Consider the following 25,193-nt stretch of genomic DNA (forward strand, 5'->3'; position numbering starts at 1 on the left):
TCTGTGTGGCCATCAGAAAGCTGAGTACCCGGATCCTATTATCTTGGCCGCTCACATAAACGCTTTCAGTGAGCTATGCTTTAATGTCAGGCCTCTAGCTTTTATAGAGGGTCGATACAAGAATCATCTGGTTGAATAACATTTCGGTATCTTTTGTAAAACTGCAGTTGAAGACATCGTTCACTGTGTCACTCAGTGTCCTTTATACAAGGATCCGCACGATAAATTCTGGCTTGTATTTAGTTCCAGGAAGAAATTCTATTTTCTGCAGATAAATTAGTTAGTATGCTTCCTGCTGTCAGAAAATGAAAACTATGTAACTCTGGGTGCCTCTTTTTTGCTTAGCAGCTAGACAAGAGAGAGCCAAATTTATTGCCTGTGTGTTGTAATTTGCTCAGCTGTGGAGTCCAAAAGCACTTATGCCTTCTACTTCTTTTAAATGGGCTTATTTTATTTTATGCTCAAATGTCTCATTGTGCTTTTGCAAAATGTGTGAGTCTGGAAGTCACCTGGGGAAGCATTCATCTGGCCATTGACTTGGCCTATTTATTGCTTGTGCTGGCTGCTAGGGATTCGAAGATGAATTTGACTGCACCCACCTTTCCTGGAGCTTACATTTTAGCATGGAGAATATATATGGAAATAAATAATTACAAAATAGGGTTGGTGCTTTAACAGAGACCCATGAGGCGGAGGCAAAAGCAGATTTTGGGAGAAGGGGTCAGGGAAGGCTTCACAGAGGAGGTCAATGTTGAATTGGTTTTGTGGCTACAGTGGGAAGAGGACAGTGAATGGAAGAATGTAGGTAGCTGAATCTGATACTTAAAAAAAGGAGTTGTCTTTTTATGCACATGTCAACTCATCCTGGTTAGATTGGAAACTCTTTGAGGGCAGGCACTGGATACAGCCCTCTGTGGATTCCATGATGCCTGGCAAAGTGCTAAGGGCAGTGCAGCGTGATGGCTGGAACACTGCTGTGGACCCAGGCTACTGGCCTTGCATCCACAGCGGAGCAAAGTTAGGCAGGTTTCCTTAACCCCTTTGGGCCTTAAATGTAAAGTGAGGATAATAGTAACATCTACGTCATTGGGTTGTGAGCATTAAAGAAAGAAACACATGTAGAGAACTTAGTAACATGCCTGGCACATGGTAAAGTACTCAAGAAACATTTGCTGATTAGTCTCATCTGCATTATCAACAATACTAAATCATTTGGGGTCGATAGTACAGTAAAGTGGTAAAAACACACACAACTGAATTCAGCAAAGCACTCTCAGCTCAGCTAGCTGAATCTAGTTAAGTTAGTATCATTTCCAACTGACGCCTAATTTAAAAATAACATTGTTCTATTGTTTCCTGAAATAGTGTGTGGGAGTCAGCCCTCCTATAAGCCCTGATGATGTTCTTAGAGATGGTTATTGATGTTTGTCTTAAAAGACACCCCCAGCTCTGACTGTCACATCTAGGGAGCTCACAAGGTACAATGCTTCTTCAGCCTCCTTTTTGTCTTCATTAGTTCTCCTGTCCACTAAGTTTTAAAAGGACCAGGGTTCGGTAGATGTTTATGTTTCCTGATGTATCTTGGGTGAGTTGTAAATGAAGAAAGAACCATAGTCTTGACTTTCAGCCAGGAAAGAGAGTAGGAATCCTTATAAAAGCACATGCACAGTCACGCGTGTGTGCACATGCACGCGCACACACACACACGCACACACCCGGCCATGAAAGGGCCATCCATATGCCATTGGTGTGGTGGCAAATGTTTAACAGCCACTCTTTGGAAAAAAAAAAAAGCCACATTTATAATACTTGCCAATTTCCTTGGTGTAAATATTTCCAGCATGGCTGATTTGAAGCCACCAGTATGATCTCGCTAAATGTGGATTTGGGAAGAGAGGCACCGCAGCACCTCGTCACACAGTGTTCCCACCACACAGATACAGTGGATACAGATCACTTCAAAAGCACAGATAATAACACAATGTAGTAAATTAACTAGGAAGTGGTGAATTTTGAGTATTTGTTACCTTTGTTTCTTAATATAACATTTAATTGTAAACTTATCTAATTTAATTTTAATAACATCTTTGTTTAAAAACGGCTCCCCACATTCCTGGAGTACTAACAGTTTATGCTTTTATGGACTGAGCCAGCTCAGCACACCACTGGGAATGGCTTATCATCATCCATGAATGATTTCTTCCAAATGGTGCCTCTCACATTACCACTAAATCTTTGTTCCTTTGGGATATGGGATTGCCTTTATAGAAATTTCCCTGGGCACACATCTACTTACACATCCAGAGACATATTCTTATGCAAAACATATAAGAAAAACTCTCCTGATCCAACTTGCTCATCACCCTTCCCCACGACAAACCCAAACCGATCACACCCACACTTTCATGAAACCATAGGAACATGTAGGCAAAAGAAAGAAACAATAACAGAGGAAATACTGAGAATGGAGAGTGAGAGAAAGTGAAAAGAAGCAGACAAAGGGAACAGAATGAAAAGGGTGATGGTAGTAGAAGATACACAAAAAAGACAGAAATGAAAGGGGGCGTACCACTGAGTCACTTCTTTACTCTTAGATCTGAAGCCTGAATTACAAAACATCAGGGAATCCAAATACACCGAGTAGGCTGCCTTTACTCTTACCGGAGCCCTCTGTCCTAGCCTTCAGCCCAACTGCTGGGCTGAAGGGCGAGAGTTAAGGTTCTATAAGCAATCTGTCTTGAGAGGTTTCTCTCAATGAGGAGAATTCCCATCTGAAATGCGGCCACCTGGGACACACAAGCTCTGGCAGTTCCAAATCTCCATCAGACAACCTCCTAAGGAGCTTGGACGGCAACATGGCATTTAATCTCAGAATGGCAGCTGGGAGATGTTGACACTTCTTCTCTAATTGGGATAGTATGCTTTTAAAATAAATAGGTATTTCAAATGCTCTTAATTAGACTTCCAGCCAAAGTGCTTTCTGTTTGAAGTTTGCTGATTACTTCAGGCAAAGCTAGGCGCTACTGAACCTAACACCTGCTGTAATTCAGAAGACTCCCAGAGAGATGAGCAGAGGAATTAAGGCACAAGCCTGTGATTGAAAACATACAGCAGTTTTCCAAAGGCCCAGGAAGTGTCTGCCCCAGCTGGAAGGACCATCCCTGGGAGGGGTGGGGACTGGGCAGCAGAGAGGATGGAAGATCTCTTGCCCACAAAGTCATGGAAATGGCTTCCCAGACCGAAGATGAAAATTGCCCCTAGAGTTGAGTGGTATTTTTCACATCATTGTTTGTTTATTTTTAAATTTCCATTTTTAAATTTTAGATTCAGAGGTACATGTGCAGGTTTATTACAAGGGTATATTGCATGATGCTGAGGTTTGGGCTTGTATTGATCTCGTCACGAAGGTAGTGAACCTAGTAACCAATAGGAAGTTTCTCAGCCCTTGCCCACTTCCCTTCCTACCTCCTTTTGGAGTCTCTGGTGTTTGTTGTTTCCATCTTTATGTCTGTGTGAACTCAAGATTTAGCTCCCACTTACAAGTGAGAACATGCGGTATATGGTTTTCTGTTCCTGCGTTAATTCATTTGGGATAATGGCCTGCAGCTGTATTCATGTTGCCGCAAAGGATGTGATTTTGTTTTTTTTTATGGCCGTGTAGTGTTCCATGATGTGTACCACATTTTCTTTATCCAATCTGCCATTGATGGGCACCTAGATTGATTCCATGTCTTTGCTATTGTGAATAGTGCTGCAATGAACATAAGTTTGAGTGCCTGTGTCTTTTGGTAGAATGATTTATTTTTCTTTTGGTATATAGCCAGTAATGGGATTGCTGGGTTGAATGGCAGTTCTATTTTTAGTTCTCTGAGAAATCTCCAAACTGCTTTCCAGAGGAGGTGAAATAATTTGCATTCCCACCAGCAGTGTATAAATATACCCTTTTCTGTGCAACCTTGCCAACATCCGTTATTTTTTGACTTTTTAGCAATAGCCATTCTGACTGGTGTGAGATGGTATCTCGTTGCGATTTTGATTTGCATCTTTCTGATTATTACTGATGTTGAACATTGTTTTGTATGTTTTTTGGCCACTTGTATGTCTTCTTTTGAGAAGTGTCTGTTCCTGTCTTTGCCCACTTTTTAATAGGGTTCTTTTTTTCTTATTGATTCATTTAAGTTCCTTATCGATTCTGGATATTAATCCTTCATTGGATGCATAGTTTGCAAATATTTTCTCCCATTCTGTAGGTTGTCTGTTTACTCTGTTGAGAGCTTCTTTTGCTGTGCAGAAGTTCTTTAGTTTAATTAAGTTCCATTTGTCTATGTTTGATTTTGCTGCATTTGCTTTTGGGGTCTTCATCATAGATTCATTGTCTAGACCAATGTCTAGAAAAGTATATCCTAGGTTTTCTTCTAGAATTTTAACAGATTGAAGTCTTACATTTAAGTCTTTAATTCATCTTGAGTTAATTTTTGTGTATGGTTAGAGGTAGGAATCTAGTTTCATTCTCTGCAAACGGTTAGTTTTCCCAGCACCATTTATTGAATAGGGTGTTCTTTCCCCATTGTTTATTTTTGTTGACTTTGTTGGAGATCAGTTGGTTGTAGGTGTGCAGCTTTATTTCAGGAGTCTTTGTCTTGTTCCATTGGTCTATATGTCTGGTTGTGTACTAATACCGTACTGTTTTGGTTACTGTAGCCTTGTAGTTTAGTTTGTAATGGGTAATGTGATATCTCCAGCTTTGTTCTATTTGCTTAGGATGGCCTTGGCTATTTAGGCTCTTTTATGGTTCCATATGAATTTTAGAATAGTTTTTTTTTCTAATTCTGTGAAAAATGACATTGGTAATTTGATAGAAATAGCATTGAAACTGTAGATTGTTTTGGACATTTAAACAATATTGATTCTTCCAATTCATGAGCATGGAATGCTTTTCCATTTGTTTGTGTTGTCTATGATTTCTTCCAGCAGTGTTTTACAGGTGTCCTCATAGAGATCTTTCACCTTCATCATTAGATGCATTCCTAGGTATTTTAATTTTTTTGTGGCTATTGTAAATGGGTTGCATTCTTGATTGTCAGCATGAAAGTTTTTGGTGTCTGGAAATGCTACTGATTTTGTACATTCATTTTGTATCCTGAGACTTTGCTGAAGCAGTTTATCAGGTCTTGGAGTCTTTTGGCAGAATCTTTAGGGTTTTCTAGGTATACGGTCATATCAGCAAAGAGAGATAACTTGACTTCTCTTCTGTTTGGATGCCTTTTATTTCTTTCTCTGGCCTAATTGCTCTGGCTAGGACTTCCTACGTTGCTATTCCTATTGAACCAGCAACATGAAGGCTGAAGAAGAGGGCAGATGTTTCAGGGCCAGGTGGCAGCCCTTGGGGACAACTCCATATCCAGGGACCTGCCAGGGTGAGCACGAAGCAGGATACAGAGGCCCATAAGGTCACCTTGGTACAGTTTTCCAGCAGAGGTCATTCTGCCTTCCCAAGCCTGGCCCAAGGAGTTAGGGCCCTGGGGCAGCCTGGCTCTTTGTTGAAGACACTTCGCAGAATCTCAATGCTAAGTGTGTGCCCAAGTCTCTGGCGCTGGGAGGGCAGTGTACCTGACCCCAGTCCCAGGGCCAACAGTGGGAAGCTCAGAGCTCCAGTTGCCGTGGCTTAGGTGCCCTTGTTCTATGTTCCTGATGTAATCAGCAGCTATTCTATATCATCATTATTACTACTGAAACGAAACAACCAACTTTCCTAATAATACAAATTACCAAAGTCAAATGAGCCATCGTCATGACTTTAGAGGCTCTCCTCTATTTCCCCACCATTGGCCCTGGGTGCTGGATTTCTCCGATTACAGGTAATTGAGGGCCCACACCATCTCAAGGGGAACTTTTTTTGTCTGGAATACATGAATTTCTTATTTAATCAAAGTTCTCCATAAATTGTTGGTCCCAGCTAGCTGGAGAGGAAATGAGGAGGTTCTACCCAGGATACCCACTCCACCAGTCCTCTGCAAGCTATACTCTTCTCCTAGGTGACTTCATTGGGTCACATATCAAAAAAGGGTGTTTTCTGCAGATGTCCACTGCTTAAAAGGTGCCAAGGGCCTCTTAGAATATGACTGTCCTTGTTTTGTATTTGCATTCTTCATGCGTTAAAGCGGGTTGATCATTGCAGTGGGCAGTAAATAGCATGAGGGCTAACAGCACCAAGCTTGGAACAGAACTGGGTTCAAATACTTGTTTCAACACTCACTGGCTACATGACCTTGGGAAGGCACTGCATCTCCCCCATCTGGTAAATGCACTTACCTCTTTGGACTGCTGTGGATGAAAGGAGACTGCATATGAGGCTGTGCAACAGACACGGGTCTGTAAACAAATGCTGTTTTCATCATTAACTATTTCTGTTAGGATTAGTTAGTAGTGGCTCTGAAAAGCTCAGATAGGACCTTGAGAATCTGGGACACAGTGGGTGAATTTAGGTGGGGATGTGGGGTGGGAAAGGAGGGGAGGATGAGGCAACAGCTGGAAGAGTAGGGTGCTGGGTGCTGATGGCCAGGCGCAAGAACACAGGCTGGGGAAACAGATCCTGTTAGAGGAGGGGCATCCAAGGAAAGCTGTGTGGATAGCAACCCTTGCCATCCTTAACCTCAGAGAGGGTTTTAAATGGGTTATCTTTTAGCTGGGTTTGGATTCCTAAAATCAGGTCAGTTTATATTACCTTCATCCTCTTCCTGCAGATTCTCTTTGTACCTACCTAGGGCTACTTGCTGTATATGCCGCTGGGTGATTTCTTCCTTCAGGTGACCTGCCAAAGACACAAAAGAAAACTACCAGTGGGTTTCCAATGGGCTGGAGGAAGACTGCCTCAGAAGCATGTGGCAAGCTACAGAAAAAAAAAAAAAAAGGTAGAGTAAGGGAAACAAAAGCAGGCATAGCTTCCAAGAAATGACCTTCCATGATTCCTAGATCGTGTTGGAAGAAGAGGTTGCAAAGGCCTAGGTGCTGGCACATCAGTGCAAACACACATTTCACCCTTGAGTTCAATCATCTTAGGATTCAAGTATCTTAGCCTGTCACCCATAACTTTCACTGAGGCCCCTATTCTCTTAAATGGTTCTTTCTATTATTAATAAAGGGAAAAGCAGAATTTGGTCTTTTAATAATATTTAGGCCTACTTTAAAATCCACATCTTTATTTAAGCTACATGAAACTGTGTCAAATAAAAAAAGATGGTGGTTTTAACTGACAATAACCCTAATAGTTGGTCATTTGGTGTGAAACTCATATAATTCTAGTTTACATTAATAAAGGTATGATGCACAGAGAACAGTGATAGTTCCCTTCAGGGAGGTGATAGTTCCACTCTGCTCTACAAGTGAGGAGACATCAGCTGGTATTTGTTCTGGGAGTTACTCTTCATAAGGAACATTTGCAAAATAGAAAATATTCAGAAGATGGTGACTGGAATGGTGAGGGGTCTGAAACCATGCCATCTGAGAAATATTTAAGGTGACATGAGACATTTAGATGTGAAGACAAGACTTGGAGAGGAGGAATGGAGATAATGGCTGTCTTTGAATATCTGAACATTGTCATATGAATTAGAAACAGCTTTATTTTTATCTTGCTCCTGAGGGCAGAAATCAAGTCTAATGAAAGCAGACTTGGGGCTTAATACAAGGAAGAAACAACTCACAATGAGGACTGTCTCAAAATGGATTAAATCTTCTGGCAAAGCAGTGAGCCCCTTCCTGAAAGGGTTCAAGCAGAAGCTGGGTGACCATCTGTTGGGTTGTTAGAGTGAGAATTCCTGCCCTGGGTAGGATCTGGGAGGCAATGACCTCCAGGCTTCCTCCGTCTCTAAAATTCCATGATTTCGTGCATGAAGGAGGGGTGAAACAGCAGCCCGGAGTTTGTTTATGTCCAAGGGCTCAGCACACTTGTTAAAATGTCAGTGCTGTCTGTATGGCATGTCCCATTTGGGGGATGTGATCAGGCCACTGGGGGATTCCAAGAAAGCCTGGAAAATTCATTGCTTCCTTGTTTAAGATATTTCTTTCCTCACATAAGTACATTCTATACCTCCAAGGCTATAGCTGAATTGAGTATTCAAAAGATGAGTAGATGAGGAAGCAGTCACAAGAGACTTTATCATTTATGGAGAGTTTTAGGGCACCTCTAGAATGTTATAATTGGGAGAGATGGCAGAGGTCATTCAGTTCAACTTTGCAGTCAATTTAGGAATCCCTTCTACAGAAGGAAATGGGCATTTCCCTTCTGACTTGTATGTATTCGAGCTATTCCATTAAGTTATATGTAAGGAATTAATTATGTGGAGTTGCATCTGCTTCCCTATAATCTTCAGCTATGTGCCTGGCCTGTTTTCTGGATCAGCACAGAAAAAGATCCTCTGTCATTGGCATAGGATCTTCACATATCTGAGGATGCTATGATTGATTTCTCTACTTCGACTTGCCCTTTATGGAGGTCAAACATCACCAGTCCTTAGGTAATACCTCGGAGGCCACTATCTCCAGACACATCATTGTCTTGGGAAAGGGTCTGGGGCACCTGCATGTCTGTGCCTTGGTTTCCATGTGTCCCTACTGGAGAGAATTATGCATAGAGAGCGTGGCAGGCATTGGGACTAAACAATAATTGCACCCTTATTCCATGTGGGGGAAGGGTGGGAACTTCAGGAGTGTGCTGAGGGGGATTTGGGGAAGTGGAAACTTGACCCAATGATGAGTATTGGTGAACCTGGATCCAACAGGAAAATGACTTGACACCTGAGCCAGCCACAGCCCCAAATGGATCTTTTCCCTACTCAGTGCAATTTGACCCTTATTGTCCATATAAGCAGAGTAAAGAAGTTGGGGACATAAGGCTGCTGCTGGACTGAGACTCTAGGCTGCATCAAACACTGCTGAATTAAATTTTAAGATGGGATAGCACATGCATGCTCCAAATAAAAGGAGATATTGCTGTGACAAATGCAACACACCATTTAGAAACATCTCTTGATTTAGAGTGAGTCATCAAAAGCTTTTTAATCCTGCAGTATGGAGAGTCAGTGGTGCTTTGGTGCCCTGCCTGTTTCCTGGGTATCCGGCACAGCCTTATACCACGAGCCTCTCATATGACTGGGTACTGCCTTCCTAATGAGCCTGGACAGTGGCTTGCTCCTTTAGAGCACACACTGGTTTGCACTGCTTCCTGGAAACTACCTCCCTGCTAATAAGCCTTCCCAGTAATAAGCCTCCCTGACAATGCGCCTCCTGACACATGCTTCCTCAAGTCTGTGCCTCCAAACCCCATGCCTTGACCAGAGTAGGTGTGCTCAACCTGGTATGTTACAATTTCTTCAGCGCCTATTGGAACGACCAAGTTCCTTTTTCCCAAACCCTAAGGAAGTATTTTTTTTTTTTTGGAATGACCAGGTTTAAGGATTCTCCACTGCCCCTGGTTTGGGAGGAGCTGCTCACGTAAATAAAGAGGGGATTTTGCCACCACAAGCATAAATACTCACTCTCAGAACAACGAGGCACCACCAGGGAACAAAAGGTGGGTCTTTATAATGTTACATATTGATAAAGGTTGTTTTACAATGCCGCTAGTGATACTCAGTTTTGGTGAATTGACTAACATCTCCCACCACATGGCAAGTTTTTTTTTATTTCCCCCAAACAAGCTTCCAAAAATAGCCTTATGGCTGATACCTAATTGCATTTCTAACAGAGCTATTCTTCATGTGCAGATAACAGTCTCTGTAACCTGCTGGATCTTGCAGCTTTATGGGTTTTGGCAAAAAAAGGAGTTGAGGGGGATTGCAGAATTCACTCAGCATGCAGCTTGCTGTCATTACCACGGTGATAAATTTGCTGGTTTTGGCCTGGGTTCCTGGACACATCCCCATCCAGAGGTATGGAAAAGAGATGAAATGGAAACAGAGAACTCCCAGCCTGAGGCCGGAGACAGTCTGGGAGGGAAGTAGGGAGCCCAGAATGGGGCTGAAAACCAAAAGGGTAGGGGAGGGAAGGAATGCTCTGCCTGCAGGAGTGTCCATAATTAGTAATTTTTCCTTCAGTAATTTACCACAGTACATGCTAGAAACACCTTCTCTCCCTTTTGATACATTAATTGATGGATTGTGGGTGGCAGCGGGGAGCAGAGCTTACAGCAATCCACGGGAAAGCTCCAGAGGAGACGGGTGACCTTAAATATGACCGCGAGCAGGGTATGTGGAGGTGGTGCTCTGTGTGGTATATGGGTTTTCTCTGTTACTGAGTAGTTCTAGGGAAAGTATTATCATCATGCAGAAGTGAAACTGATTTTTTTACATCAGTATTCAGTCTTCTGAATAAAACCATTTTCCATAAGCTTCACACTCTATTTTGCACGCATGCTAGTTTGAGATTATTCACGTGAACGCTGCTTGGCTGGCCTGGAGGAGAGCTATTCACTTACGACTCCCTGAGTGGCTGTCTGCTGCTCCTGCAATTTCTGGGATGCTGTGCCTCATTCAACATGTTTATGTTGCTATCAAACAATAAATACTTATCTCTCATCTACTATCGGTTAAGCACTATGTTCTAAGTGCTGTGGAATATACACACTCGTAGAAGGCTCTATCCTAACCTAGGAAAGTCAGTGCAGTACAGGGATCAGCAAATAGGTGGCCCGTGTGCTCTTTCTTTTAAGTGCTGGACCAACGGCTGGCCTTGCTCCTCCATCAGGGATGGTTTGCTTTCCTGCTGAGCCTGAGTTTGGCTCTTCCACACAGCACTCTGGGCAGCTATAGCCCATCACTTGAAGTTGGACTTGAGATGAAGCAAACCTCTTTGCTATTTCAGTTATTCTAGAAAATAATTACAAATCTGGGCCAGGCATGGTGGTTCATGCCTGTAATCCCAGCACTTTGGGAGGCCAAGGTGGGTGGATCACCTGAGGTCAGGAGTTTAAGACTAGTCTGGCCAACATGGCAAAACTCCATCTCTACTAAAAATACAAAAATTAGCTGGGCATGGTGACGGGCACCTGTAATCCCAGCTACTTGGGACACTGAGGCAGGAGAATCACTTGAACCTGGGAGGCAGAGGTTGCAATGAGCCAAGATCGCGCCGCTGCACTCCAGCCTGGGCAACAGAATGAGACTCTGTCTCCAAAAAAAAAAAAAAAAAAAAAGGAAATAATTACAAATCTGGAGGTAGACGAAGTTGAGTTCAAATCCCAGTTTTGCTACTTCTTAGTTGAATGGGCTAACCAACGTCTCTAACCTCAATGTTATCATTTGAAAAATGGAAAAATATTATAACTGCAATAATATCTGCTTTGCTATATCTCAAGATCTTTCAGAGGAGCAAGGGATAACGCACCAGCATGTATGATATGCCACACTCGTTTTAGGTATTCAGGCACTTTCAGACATATTGGAAGGATACTACATGGTTAAGATGACAGGTCAAGCGGCTAAATGTCAAATCAATGGTAGAGATACATTTAGAGGAGGGAAAGGAGACATTGGGAAAGGCATAATTACTACAGGCGAATTGAGTAGGCTCAGAAAAGAGCAAGGGTGTTAAGGTGCGCTTGGGAAGGGCACCTCAGTCTGAGAGAACTGCTGGGACAATAATGCAGAGGCCAAGTATATACTGGTTTGGGACAGGGGCGGCAAGGGAAGGTTGAGTGGAGGACTAGGGCTGGGGAAGACTAAGTTGTATTCATACTGGAGTCTGGGGTCCTGGGTAATTACTAAGAGCTCTGGACCCAGATAAATGCTATTTGTCTGTTTGACTATACTACTAGAGTTTCTGGGCAAAATCTGGTTAATATAAACATCAGTTGTAGAACTGGGGTGTGGGGAGAATATGCAGAATATGTTTCCTGCCTGAGGGGCCTCTTTGAAATGGAAGGTCTAGTTAGAGGCTCCGAACTCTGAGTGACAATTTCAGCTGTCATGTGAGAAGCAGTTTTTTTGGTACTAACATGGAGGATCATGATAACCAAAAGGTTAGATCCCTAAAGGCTGTGTGTAAGGCTAGTTGTAAAAATAATGGGCCTAGAATAAATTGTGTAATCCTTACACGGATTCCCAACTAACAGGAGGATGTAAATTCTTTGAAACCTTAAAATCAGACATATTCATGTCCCCCTTGCTAATATATATTTCATCAGGCTTTATCCAAACTTGTTGGTATACTTTGAAAATGTATTGAGTCAGGAACTACCTCTTCTCACCATAGCAGTGGTGGATAAAATAGAAAAGAGACTATCAGGAAGACATTGTGGGATTTGATTATGAGACATATTTCTGAAGACCAGAAGTAGGACGGAAATGCAAAAATGGTGAGTGGAGCTGAGGCCTTGAACTTGCAAAGCACTGGTTCCAGAAGTAGGAAGGTAACTAAAACAGCGCCATGCGGAACAGGGTAAGAGTCTGGCACATTGTTTGAGGCTGCGGGTTGAAGTGAGGCTCCCTACCACCCAATCTGTGAGTGAAAGGGGACTGATGAAACGTGCACCAGATGTTGCCTGGGGCTATGGTTTCCAACTCAATGCAAGCCCAAGGAGGAAGAAACGTACAAACTCAGCCCCTCTCCAGCTGCTAAGCCCAGCTGCTCACGGGCTCTATACAGGGTCTGCTCATCTCCAGTACTGTTACGGAGCAGTCACTCCAAATTGTCTTTACTGGAGTTGATTCTGGATTGGGGGCCTGGAGGGTCTGTCAGCCAGAGAGGGATGAACACAAAGAAAAAGAGAGTAAGAGAAATAAATAAAACGTGTTTCGTTAAAAATGGGCCTGCCCAGCAAAATGCCAAAATATATGAATAAATCTCATGCTAAAAAAAAGATAGTCAAGTTCAATAGTTGGAACATGAATTAGTTACAGATGAAAGTAATTTTCTGGGCAGGCAGATGAAGACATTTGTTGATGCAGAAGCACAGAGGGTTGAGTTAATTTTACTCTTCAGTTTAGGGTACACCACTCATCAGCCTGGGCAATGCCTCTCTGGTATGTATGTTTGTATGTATGTATAGGTGTATGTATACATATGCATGTATGTATATATGAATGCATGTATATATATATATGTGTGTGTGTGTGTATACATGTATTTTGGCCCTGATACTTCATGTCTCATGTCCTATTCTTATTCTCCTCTTCTTCCAACAGGCAACCATTCTAGTTGGTTTGATGTATGTGCTTTTATTGTAGGTGTTCTTACAATTTGTATTAAAGTTTTCTGTGTAGTTTTAAGCTGTGAAAGTAATATTGTGCTATAGATCTCATTCTGTTTCTTACTTATTTATTAGTACTGTTTTTGACATCTGTTTTGCTGTATATGCATCTAATTCTCAGTTTCTGACTGCTACATCCATTCCACAGAATGCACCCCAACTTTTACTTCCATTTTTTGATAGTTGAACAACTGGATTGCACCTCACTCCCACTAACACAAACAGTGCTGTGATGACCATCCCTAAACATGTAGTCTTATAAGTCTGTGAGAACATTTCTCTGCTGGGTCTCAGCAGATTTGCATAATTAATTTGAGTGCTGCCCTCCATAATGATTGTGCTAGTCTATCTGCCCAAGGCAAAGACCTTAAAGTATGTTGAGGATACTTAACGAGATTAATGAAGGGATACATTTTCTTTAAAAAGAATAAGAAATATGTGACAAATAGGTATAAATGATACAAGAATAGGTGGATAGAACAGAAATTTTGAAATAAAAATTAGTCATTGAAACAAATAAAAAGTACAGAGACTAAGGAAATAAACCCTAGATGGGGTAAATTTCAAAAGTGAATTAGTGAATTGGAAGACAGTTGGAAAAACTGACTCAAACACAGCACAGAAAGCAAGACATAAAAATGGGGAAAGCGGTTAAAAGTCACAGAGAAGAGACTGAGAGGCTTCCTCATTTGTCTAGAATTCTAGAAGAGAATGGAGGCAAATGGTAAAGAAGCAAATGGAGGCAAATGGTAAAGAATGGTGAAGAGATAGCAGTTGAGATTTTCCAGCATTCGAGAAAAATATAAGCCCTTGGGTTGAAAGTGCAGTTTGAGTATTGAGCAGGATAAATAAAAATAAATCCACCCCCACACATATCATAGTAAAATTACAGAACTTCAGGGAATCAGAACCACTATTAACAGCTTCCAGGGGACCTGCAAAGGAGGAACTTAGATGACCGCCCACTCCTCAGTGACAACCACAGGTGCCGGGAGATAGTGGAGGGAAACAACTGTCAACGTGAATTTTATTCATACCCAAACTATCATTCACAGGTGAGGGCACAGTAAAGACATTATCAGTCATAAGAAGACAAAGAGCATTTACCACCCGCAGGCCCTCTCTCCCTAAAAGAACTCAACTGAGGCAGCCAAGCGTGGAGGGTGAGTGCGTGGACTCTGGAGCCAACCCCCTTGGGTTTGCATCCAGCTGGGCCACTTACTGTGTAACCTCCTGCAAGTGACTGAATGTCAGTGTGCCTCAGTTTTGACATCTGAAAAATGGGGATAATAACAGCATTTGTGCTGTGACAACTGAATTAGGTCACATGTGTCAAGTGCTTAAGGAGTTCCTGACATATAATAAAAACTGTGTAAGTGTGAAAGTTGTTATGATCAGCAAGAAGAAAAATAAACACAAAGATGGGGGATAAAAGAAGTAATAGCATAAAATGTAAATAAAATATTTAAGTAAAAATATTTTATTATTTGACCATTAAAAACCTCTGTGTGTATGTGTATGTGTGTATCTGAAAACCAACATTTTAGGCAATAATAACAAAGTGAAGATAAAGTAGTGAGATGTTCAGTGGGGAGTTAAAACCAGCTGTGACCCTGGATGTGGTTGGGAGGAGGATATATTTGGAACAACTACAGACATTGTTATAGTTACTTTTTAACTCTAGAAGAATAAAAATATGTACAGTAGCAGCCAAATCAATAGAAGATCAGAAAAAAAGGCAAGGGATGGGTGTTGTGGGGAGGGAATGCCAACATTTTCACAATTCGACAGAAGCCAAGGAAGAAGAAAAAAGGAATCAGAGAAAAGAATGGGGTATAAATGATCCTGTGTTTGGTGAAACAAACAATGGCAAGAGCTTTACATATACGTATGTAAATAACTGTGTGTTTGTGTGTGTGTGTTTGTGCACGCACATATGCCCTTGTGCATATATATGTATATGTATGATGCTGTGACCATGGAGGTTATGTGAATGAATATCTACAATGCTATGACAGGTTACTGAGGGTGGAAGTGGGGTGGAGAGTGAATTGGGTAGGAGAGGATAAAGCCGAGCAAGATCAAACAAAATAGAAAATGTACTTTAATAAAGGCGCATGATTTACGATTCACATAAAAGCTATATTTGTATATATTTATAAAAAGAAATAAAAATTAAATACCCACTGCACTTCCTTGATAGGGAAATGTGATGTTACTATAGCATGCTGGAAATTGCGCTTGAGCACCTGCCACACATGTGATGTCATCTGCCATGTGTGCTGACTGAAAATATTCATAACCGAAGTCTCAGCGACAGGGATAGGGGAAATAAGGAGGGTTTCAGCATCGGATTATTTGGCAGAGCTGTGTTATTCACCAGCAGCCTGGCAAAGAAGTGAAGGTGGAAGACAGAGAGTCCCAGAGGCAGCCCAAGACAGCAAGGGATTTCCATTGGCTTGGGGGCCAGGGGTGGGGGCACCTCTGAGAAGCCTTCTTCCCTTGTTGAGGTCAGGGCAACAGGTCCTTCCATGGGTTCCTCAAAGAGAAAGGTCCAGCAATGGAACATACAGTGGGAGGCCAGGAGTGGCCTAAATGCTAGGCAAATGTTTTTAAGCTGCCTTATTCTAAACTGACATTTCATTTCTCCAGAATTCAAGATTCTTCTTCCATTTAGTATGCTAAACATCACAGTTGATAACATAATCGAGTCACAGAGAGAGGGGGAAAGCAGCTCCTTATAAAAGATATCAATACTTTCTAGAAAAACATCACCGGAACTTGTCTTGATTTCCCCCCGTGGGGATTTTCTCAAGGGCTCCCCATCACCTCGGCCCTATCTTGTGGAGGAGGATGTGCCTGGTAATTAATGAACATTTCAGCTTGGGATGAAAACACCAGACAGTAGTCTGGGCTTTTCAAGACAGCTCCTTGCTTATCATTATGACGGTACATGATAATCACATTTTGGGGAATGCTCTCATTTACAAAAAATGACCAAATTATACCATGTCTGGGAGACCCAATTTCTTTTGCTGTGGGATATTCACTTGGGCTACCCAAGTAATCAAAATAATCACACAAGATTAGCACGTTCTGCCTGAAGCTCAAGCATTTGGCTATTGTATATGTGTAATTAAGCTAAGAAGCTTATTGATATCACTATTTCTGTATGTGATACTATTATATAAACAGATTCAGAGAATTAAGTAAGCACATTTGTTAAAAGCTCAAACAAACGTGGAGATGCAAGTAGGTGAGCATTAGGAAAATTTTCAGCTCAGCAACCAGCATGAATTATTAAATACTAAACATCTCAGGGAGCTGAGGGCTCATGATTGTGTTGGTATCTATTCAAAAGATGTTACTTTAGATGCTTGAAAGTTCTTCTCAGCAAAGGGGGATATAACCAGCTTCCAAGGCCTGCCCTGGAGGAGTAGCTGTAGTTCACAATTGTTCTTTCTGTTTGAAGATGTGGTTCCGGTTGCCAGAAATGTTGTGGGGGGTGAGGGCAGGGCCCAGGTAGCCACTGCCTCTGATTTCCATCCTTATATCCCCAGAAGTAGCCCAGGGTACACTCTTAGGAGTACCTGGGGGCATTCAAATCTCCTCTACTCCAGTGTGGGTGGGACAGGTATATTCCATCTGTTCCCAACATGCTCCTACTTGCACTGGAGGCTAGTTTGTAGGACCCCTCACTAACTGGGAGGTAGAGGGCAGGTTCACTGAAGGGACATAAAATCAACCCCAAGCACTGAGATGTTTGATTTTGCAGTGAATATAGTTTTAAAAACTTGGATTCTAACATGAAAACAGCAAGTTTTACATGGCTCTTTGATATAAATAATCAACTCTTTCACTCCAAAATAAAACTTGATTCTACTCATTTAATTTTAAATCAGTTAGTGCTTAAAAAAAAGTCAGTGGGAAAAAACAAGCCCCAATTAAGGCTCACTGCTGGACAAACTTCCAGCTGGCCTGTAAAATAATTGCCTAACACAGAGTTGGTGCTTCATGATGTGGGAATTGTTCTCCATTTGAAGAGACTGGAGATTAGGAGGAATGTGTTAGTGAGTTTGTGAATAAAAGACAAAACTGAATGGAAATGGTTTCAGCTTCCAGGTTCAAAAGTCATTGTTAGATGTTGCATATGCACGTTGCGTCTTTCTGGTGCAATGGGCCAGGCCCACCATTGAATCTGTGAGGCTCCCTGTGCTCTGTCTCTGCACTCACCTCCATGGGAGTGGCATGGGGGTGGATACATTAGTGCATCTCAGGAAAACCATCCAAGGGAGCCAACGGGGGCCGAGCCCAGCAGGTGCACTGGGAAACTGTGGTGGAGTGGGGAGCCAGAGAAAGGTGGCTAGCCTTCAGAGACAACTGAACAGCAGTGAAGGCCCGTCAGAGGAGAGGGAGTGGAAAACGGCAGGAGAAGTTGCAGAGGGAATCCTGGGCCTACAATAATGGAAAGAGCATGGGTTCTGGGAGCAGGTAGACTGGCACTGCCACCTCCTACTGTGACCCTAGGCTACTTAATCCCTTTGAGCCTCAATTTCTTCATTAAAATAGGGTGATAACACCAACCTTGCAAGGTTGCTGCAAGAATTAGACCCAAGGTACATAAAGCCCCCAGCACAGTGCCTGGCACATTGTAGGTGCACAATGAGTGGTGGTCATCATGGTGGTGGTAGTAATAAAAAGTAATGATTATGAGGTGGGTGGCTCTGATTACAAATAACACTGCATGGAGGATTGAAGCAAGCTAACCTATTGCAATTGTTTCTAAGGTCTTGATCACATTCAAATATGGCAGGACATCTGTATTTTCCCCTGTTCCCTTTTAGAAAAGCATCTTTCAGGCCTAAATTAACAAGTTATCGTGGGCCCAGCAGACTTTGCTGAAGTGCCTCTCTCCGCCTCGGTGGGGAGGAAGGGGGGACAGTCACATGTCCTTGCAATTGTCCAAATCAGGGTTTCACAAAGCAGAGCTGTGACCTTTCAGCACTCGCTGACTCCAACTTTTTACAAATTTAGTTTATCTTTACTAAACCTTCTCCCTTCTGATCAGTTATTTACCCTCAAATTCACCATCACTTTAGTTAGTAATGGGGTCTTCCATATTCCGTTATAGTCAAATATGATTGATTTCTGTAATTGGAAGTAAATGACTTTTTAAAAAGCTTGCTTGAAATGCTGGTGGTAATGGTTCTGTTTTCAGAGCCTGGGATGATTTCTATCCCCATCCCGTTATTTTACTTTATTTTATTCCAGAAAAATAACACCAGAGCTCTTTCTCCTTTTGTTTCCTCTGAGGCTAAATATTTTCAAAGAGGAAAGAGGAAGGAGAGAGGTGGAGATGGACATCCCACCATTTTACAGACGGTGCTTTTCAGGAGTGACATATTTCAGGAAGAACATCGTTTCCCCCTCCCTGAACTTGAGTTCTGCCTGCCTGAAATTCCAGTACGCATGGCTCTGTTTCTTACCGATCTCAGTCCTGGTGGATATAAGCTGGTCATTTTGGGGATAATGCATAATAAGGAAATCTAGGGAGTTAGGACTAGAAAAAAGAGGCAAAGCAGACAACATAACCAAATGAGAGGTTTTTGCAGTGAAGCTTTGGGAGATGAGGGAAGCTGCAGTACACATGGCCCGAGAACTACACTTCTTCAGCCAACAAAATGAGTGAGCAGGGGGAGCGGGAAATCAGAAGGTGTGTAAGAAGGGCTGATGGCACGATTTTGGGTGCTGTGTCTCTGGGGAGTCAACAATTCCAAGGGCTAATATCAGGAAGGCAGTGAATACCCAGAGAGAAGAAAAACAGAGATGGAGAGGGAATTGCCACAATATGCAAAGATAAAAATAATTTACAAGCTTCAGGTTGAATCTTTAGGGGAGAGAGATCCTGAAAAATTTTCTGCGTCCAAGGGATAGTAAATGGAGGCTAAATATACAGAGCCCATTATGATGAATGAAATGTTATTATGATTCTTTAGTGTATTGGTTTTAATGTTTTGTTTTGGTGAATATAAAAATATTTGTAGGGACTTTTATAGGTTTACTTGTAAACTTAATCTTGCTTTTCACATAAAGGCGTAATCCTTAATTATGGCTTTTTCTATCACAGGGATGTTCAGTTCCTTCGTGGCTAGGGACAGGTGGATAACTGTTTCCTATAATGTGGGAGATGTGATAATGTACATCCCAGAGCACAGCACTTGTTTCTAATCCTCATCGAAGCAGAAGTTGATTTCATTTCAGCTAATGGAGCATATTGATCATCAGCTGCTCCAGGGTCTAACAGGTGCCAGGAGGAGACCAAACCTTCACATTCTTTGAACTTGGGAAGGTAAAATTTCCAGAATAAGGAGCAGCCTTTGCCTTCTATGAGAAAGTCTGGATATTATCTTTGAGAAAAACATGGCTCTGTTGGAGACAAGCTAATCATTTTAATGGGGCATTTGAGGTTTGTACATGTAAGGTAAAGATACACCATTATTTTGGGGGAAGCTCTAAAAATGAAATAACCCAAATGCAGGTAGGTGCTTCTAAGTAAGAGTTAGATGTTCTATTTAGTATTCTGTCTTCAGAAACACAGATCGGGTGCTTCTTTAGCAGAACTATAGGTTTGCAGAGCTAGAGATTAAAAAATATCTTCATACAGTTTATCTATGCCTAAAAAGTAATGCTTGTACTTTGGATGTTGTGATGGTTAGTTTTATATGTCAAAGCGTATAGGCTACAGTGCTCAGATGTTTGCTTAAACACTAGTCTAGAGGTTGCTTTTAGATGTGGTTAATGTTTAAATCAGTAGCCTTCAAGAAAAATAGATTACCATCCATAATGGGAGTGGGCCTCACCCAGTCAGTTAAAGGCCTTAAGAGAAAAAAGACTGAAGTCCTCCAGAGCAGAATGAATTGTGCCTCCAGACTGCCTTTGGACTTGACCTGCAACATCAACTCTTCTTTGGCTCTCCAGCTTATAGGCTTGCCCTGTTCGAGTTGAACTTGCCAGCCCCTACAATCTCATGAGCCAATGCCTCAAAATAAATCTCTCTCTCTCTGTATCTATGCACATCCTTTTGGCTCTGTTTTTCTGGAGAACCCTGACTAATACAGATGATGTGGATGTGTCCTTGTCCAAGCACCTGCTGTAGCTCTTTGGGAACAGTGGGCAGTCAACGGTGGGATGAATATGTAGGTCTGATCTTGTCCCCACCTCACATGTGAATGGAGACTTTCATCCAGGTACTCAATAGTGGTCACAACAATGAGGGAAAGACACTTTTGTACTGAGTGAGCTGAGCCGGGTCCTGCGACTAAAGAACCGCCTGTCTCATCAGGCCAATGGCACCCCCATTGAGAAACGCTGCTTTTGAGGAAAGATGGAACAAGTTGTTGGTCACTGGGGGGAGTCCCACCTTGACTGATGACATGCTTGTGTCATTGAAGACTGAATGGCCCAGAGTTTTGGAAAACAAACTGCTATAAACTATCTTGTGAGAGCTATGGGTCCAGGCAGTGCTCTGGAGAAAGTGAACATACAAATAGGCTGTTGGGCCCTGTGTCCACTGCAGGTTTTTCTTGGAGCAGGCCTGCCTGAGGGTGTGTGGAAGCCTCCATGAATGAGGCTGGAAGCCTATGGGTCAAAGCCCTCCAAGAAACCAGAAGGAGCTTTCAGCTGCTCTCCAAGAAGCATTTCTTTTAAGCTTAAGCCTCCAACAGTACCTTGTTCAAGTTTGCCTCACCTAGTCAGATGCCATCGCCAGGGCCACAGGGTCTTTGAGGCTTGGTAGCAGCCACCAGCAATGGCACCATTAGAGGATAGCGTGCCCAGCAGGCAGCAGCCCCTATAGCACGAGAGCAGATAAGGAAGACAGAGGGGAAGGGCCTCAGGCAGGCGCTCCAGAGCAGTGCTTGGAGGCAGTGCTTGAAGAGACTTCTGGGTACAGTCTGGGGACTTGCTTTGATGGGAGTGGATTAATTTCCAGCAGTAAAGCCAGGAGGGACTTTGGCCATAATATTTTGGGAATAAGAAGGAGACGCACCCTGTTTGGCTGTCACAGGCTGGTGAGTCCTGGGACATGTGGGACTCATTGTGAGAAGTTTCCTTTAGTGCTGTCACCCCTCCAGGAACAAGGATGGGTGGCTTATAAAGGCGAGCAAGAGGCAAGAAAGCTGTGCAAACTGGAAAAGGGCGGCATTCTTTCAGACACAGGCTGGATGATTATATTCCTAACTCATGCCAATCCTAACTCACAAACTGCTGAAGAAATGAAATCTGGTTAAATGTGTTCCTTTTTGCCCTTCTTAAAAATATCAAAAGCAAGTATTTTTCAGACAGCTTTATACCGGCCACACTGGCCAGGCCTTGTGGGCTCCAAAACAAACACACCTGAGCTAGACTTGGTCAGCATTGGGAGGCCAGAGAGGTGGCCAAGGAATTAATAAAGGAATCTAAAGATTTTTCTCTATCCCCAAAGGCTGCCACTTGAGATAGTTCTTGCTTTGGGGGAGTCATGTGAGTGTGTGGCAAGGAGAGGGGAAGAGGGTTGTGGGGGAGAAGCTTCTGAATCCATTCAGCTTCATGCGACAGGATTTTGACTCTGGCCTGTCACTGGAAACAGATCTGACCCCTTCTCCACGGTGATATTTGTAATCTTTTCTCTTTGCAGTCAAGGGTATCAATGAAGAGTGAATGTGTATGACATGCAGTTTTTGGTGAGAAGTTTACTGTGGGCCTTAGGATATTTTCTGCTGGAGACAATACACTTGATGTAATGATTTTCTGTACCACAGAAATCACAGGAATCTGTTTTCTAAGGATTGATTACATGTCAGCTGACTAACGTCAACAGTCCTTTGTGGGTTGGTATTTTAACAATGTGGCAGTGTTTAGAGGAATTGGTGGTTTTTACCTGGATCTTAGGAAATCACCAATGATGATAATACAATGGGTGAACAATGGGTAAGCTAAGATGTTGCACGTACATGAAGAAGAGATAAGTATCTGAATGGCAAATAGGTGCCCCTAATTCCTAATAGTGTAACATTATCAATGAGGACAGTGACTTCTAGGAAGTTGTTACAGTGGCCGGAGGCCAGTAGCCTTTCTGCAGTTGCTCAAGTCACTTTGGTTGAGAAAGCCTGCATAATCCAGCTCCCATTTTCCTCTGTCTTCTTTTCACCATCTGAGTTATCTCAGAGGTAACACCCCATACCCCCTATCTTAGTGTGGTTTCTCCTGGAAGCAGACCCTAGTACAAGTAGTTTATTTGGGAAATGATCCCTGGAAGCACTGGTAACAGACAAGGGAAGTGAGACATGGAGGGAAGGCAGCCAATCTAGGGGGCAATGGCAAGCCATTTTCCACTATGGGCAATTGGAGCTCAATCCCACTTGGAGACTCTAGGGGCCTGTAGAGGATACATGCCTCAGAGCTCTCACTCCTGCAGAGGGAGGGAGCTGGGGTACGTATACACCAACTGCCAACAGTCATTGATTGAGTCCTCCCGGGGCAGGGGATTTTAATTCCCCAGCACCAGCCTGCCCCACATATATCTCTTGAGTAGGTGAAAAATGCTCTCGGGGGAGTGGGTAGTGCTAGCAGGTGAAGTCATGCTAGTGTGCACATGCCTGGCATGTGGAAGGGATGCAGGTGGGGCTCTGACAACATCTACCCTGTTCCTTATTTCTTGTTTTTCATTATCCTTGTCTGAAAAATATTACTACTGCCTGTAGTTAATATAGTCTCTTACAAACAAACCTAATTCTTTGGCAACAAAACTAGCAGAGAAAGAGGCAGAGGAAATGAAACATTCTAGCTAGTCTATTGCCTGATTTCTTATAGGCCTGGCTGGTATTTTGGGAGTCAGGTTTGTTTTCTGGCCTGGCAAATAGGAGTAACTGTAGCAGCCCTTGGTTTTCTATGGACCCTATTTTAATAGAATGCAGACTGCTTAGACTTTGGCTCACATTCTGCATGCTGAGGTGAGCTACTCTTTCCTCACTTGCTGCCTCAGTTTCCCTTTTTGCAGTGACACCTCAGATAGGAAGCTCTGACATCAGAAGCTCTTCAATTCAGCTTCTACTTGGGGCAATGGAAAAGGTACGATGTGTTACTGTGATGGAAAGCACTGTCAACCAACCCTGGCAGAGGTGCCAGGGGCATGAGGGACTCAAGCCGTTTCGAGGACTCATCCTAGAACAATGCAAACAATTGTCCTCAATCCTGGGTCTATGGGCCTGTTTACTCACTCCGTGCTGTGCCCGGCAGAAACTTGCAGTGATTTAGGAAGTCAGGGAGAGACATTTCTGGCTGTGCGGAACCTGATGAAATACTGTTTTGTGGAGACAGACTAAAAAATAACCAAACGGTCTTTAAGTGGAACAGAGATCAGAAAATCTCCTGAGGCACATTTAAGAAACCCATCAATTTTGCTGGCTTGGCCATAGAAGGGAAAATTGCACTGCAAATGATTATCTCTGATGAAATGTTCCCAAGTCTTTTACAGGGCACTTATTTGTAGTGACCTATTACTCCACCAACGAGGCCTGACTGAGAAGCCCCCACTGGGTGGTTTATAAGGGGAGTCTGCAGAGTAATTGCAGGCTCAATCCTGAGGGCCTCCTGTGTCCTATCTTCTCAACCACCTTACAGGTATCCTGAGGCTGGGGACTCTCCTATGGATTTGTGTGTTTTCCACAGGGCCTCCAACTTTACAGATGTACATAAATTACTGAATGAATAAACCTGAGACCAAGGCTTTCTGCCCAAAGTCCTCATCGTAGAAGCCCTCAATTTCCTACTTGCCCTGACCAAACTGAGGAAAAGCTGTGGCAAAAGCTCCTACTGCGTTCAGCCTGAAATAATTCACCACAACCTGTATCATCAACCCATACCCAATTACCTAAAGTGCTCTTTCTAGAGAAATTAAAAAAAAAATTCTGTTCTCCAACATAAGATTCATTTTAAAATGACAGCTGAGGTCATTTCTTTTATAAAAGCTGAGGTGGGTTGTCTGATATTCCCTCCTGTCTTCTTTCCTTGGTGGATTCATACTGTTTTATTTTTTATTTATTATTAAATATGGTAAAATTGACTTGGGAGCATGTGTGTGCATCATGGGTTTGGACACACACATAGATTTGTGTAGCCACCTTCAAAAGCAGGATCCCCAAGAGTTCTGTCACCCCTGGACTCCCTCACAAGGCCATGTTGGACTCACACCCTTCTCCCACCCCTGCCCTGCATTGTGGAAGTTCTCACTTTTTCAGAATGTCATATAGCTGGAATCAGATAGTAGGAGGCTTTATGAGACTGGCTTCTTTCATCCAGCACAATGCCTTTGAGAGTCACTCATGTTGTCTTATTTACCAGCAGTCTGCTCTTTTTATTGCTGAGTAATGTTCTATTGTATGCACTCTATTGAAGTCTATCCCCTCACTCACTGAAGGACATTTGGGTTACCACCAGTTTTTGGCAATTATGAAGAGAACCCTTACAAACATCTGCATACAAGTTTGTGTGTGAACCTAAGTTTTCATTTCTCTAGGGTAGGTAGTTGGCTTGTATGGTATGTCTGTTGAATTTTGTAAGAAATGGCCAAGTTGTTGTCCAAGGTGTCTGCCCCATTTTGCATGCTGACTAGCAACATACAAGAGTTCCAGTTGCTCCACATCCTTGCTATTACTTGGTATTGTCAGTTAAAAAATTAAAAACATTTTAAGCTATTCTAATAAACAAATGGTCATATCTCATCATTGTTTAGATTCAAATTTCTCTAATGCTAATGAGGGGGAACATTTTTGCATGCGTTCATTTGCCATCTGTACGTCCTTTTTGGTGAAGTATCTGGTCAGGCCTTTTGCACCCCCACCATTTTTAAAATAAATGAACTGTTTGTTTTCTGAGTGTTGAATTTTGAGAGTTAATATTTATGTATTTT

The 25,193-nt window shown here is 42.6% G+C and overlaps 1 protein-coding gene and 1 long non-coding RNA gene across 12 annotated transcripts in view; one reads left to right on the forward strand and one right to left on the reverse strand.

Annotated features, from left to right (window-relative positions):
* LOC107986594 (uncharacterized) overlaps positions 1–10,579 on the forward strand; it is a 38,190-nt gene extending 27,611 nt beyond the window's left edge. The window contains exon 4 of the long non-coding RNA XR_001744111.2: positions 9,448–10,579. This is a non-coding gene — a long non-coding RNA (uncharacterized LOC107986594). The remainder of the gene's footprint in view (positions 1–9,447) is intronic.
* KIF6 (kinesin family member 6) overlaps positions 1–25,193 on the reverse strand; it is a 395,419-nt gene that overhangs the window by 48,872 nt on the left and 321,354 nt on the right. For 10 of the 11 annotated variants that reach the window (XR_001743238.2, NM_145027.6, NM_001289021.3 and 7 more), the window contains one exon: positions 6,761–6,811. The exons of the other annotated variant lie outside the window; for it this stretch is intronic. Coding sequence is in view for 9 of the 10 variants with exons in the window: in NM_145027.6 (NP_659464.3) it covers positions 6,761–6,811 (51 nt within the window). In the remaining variant the exon portion in view is untranslated. The remainder of the gene's footprint in view (positions 1–6,760; positions 6,812–25,193) is intronic. 11 annotated transcript variants of the gene reach the window in all.

The sequence above is a fragment of the Homo sapiens genome, chromosome 6 (assembly GCF_000001405.40).
Source record: "Homo sapiens chromosome 6, GRCh38.p14 Primary Assembly".
Classification (NCBI taxonomy): domain Eukaryota; kingdom Metazoa; phylum Chordata; class Mammalia; order Primates; family Hominidae; genus Homo; species Homo sapiens.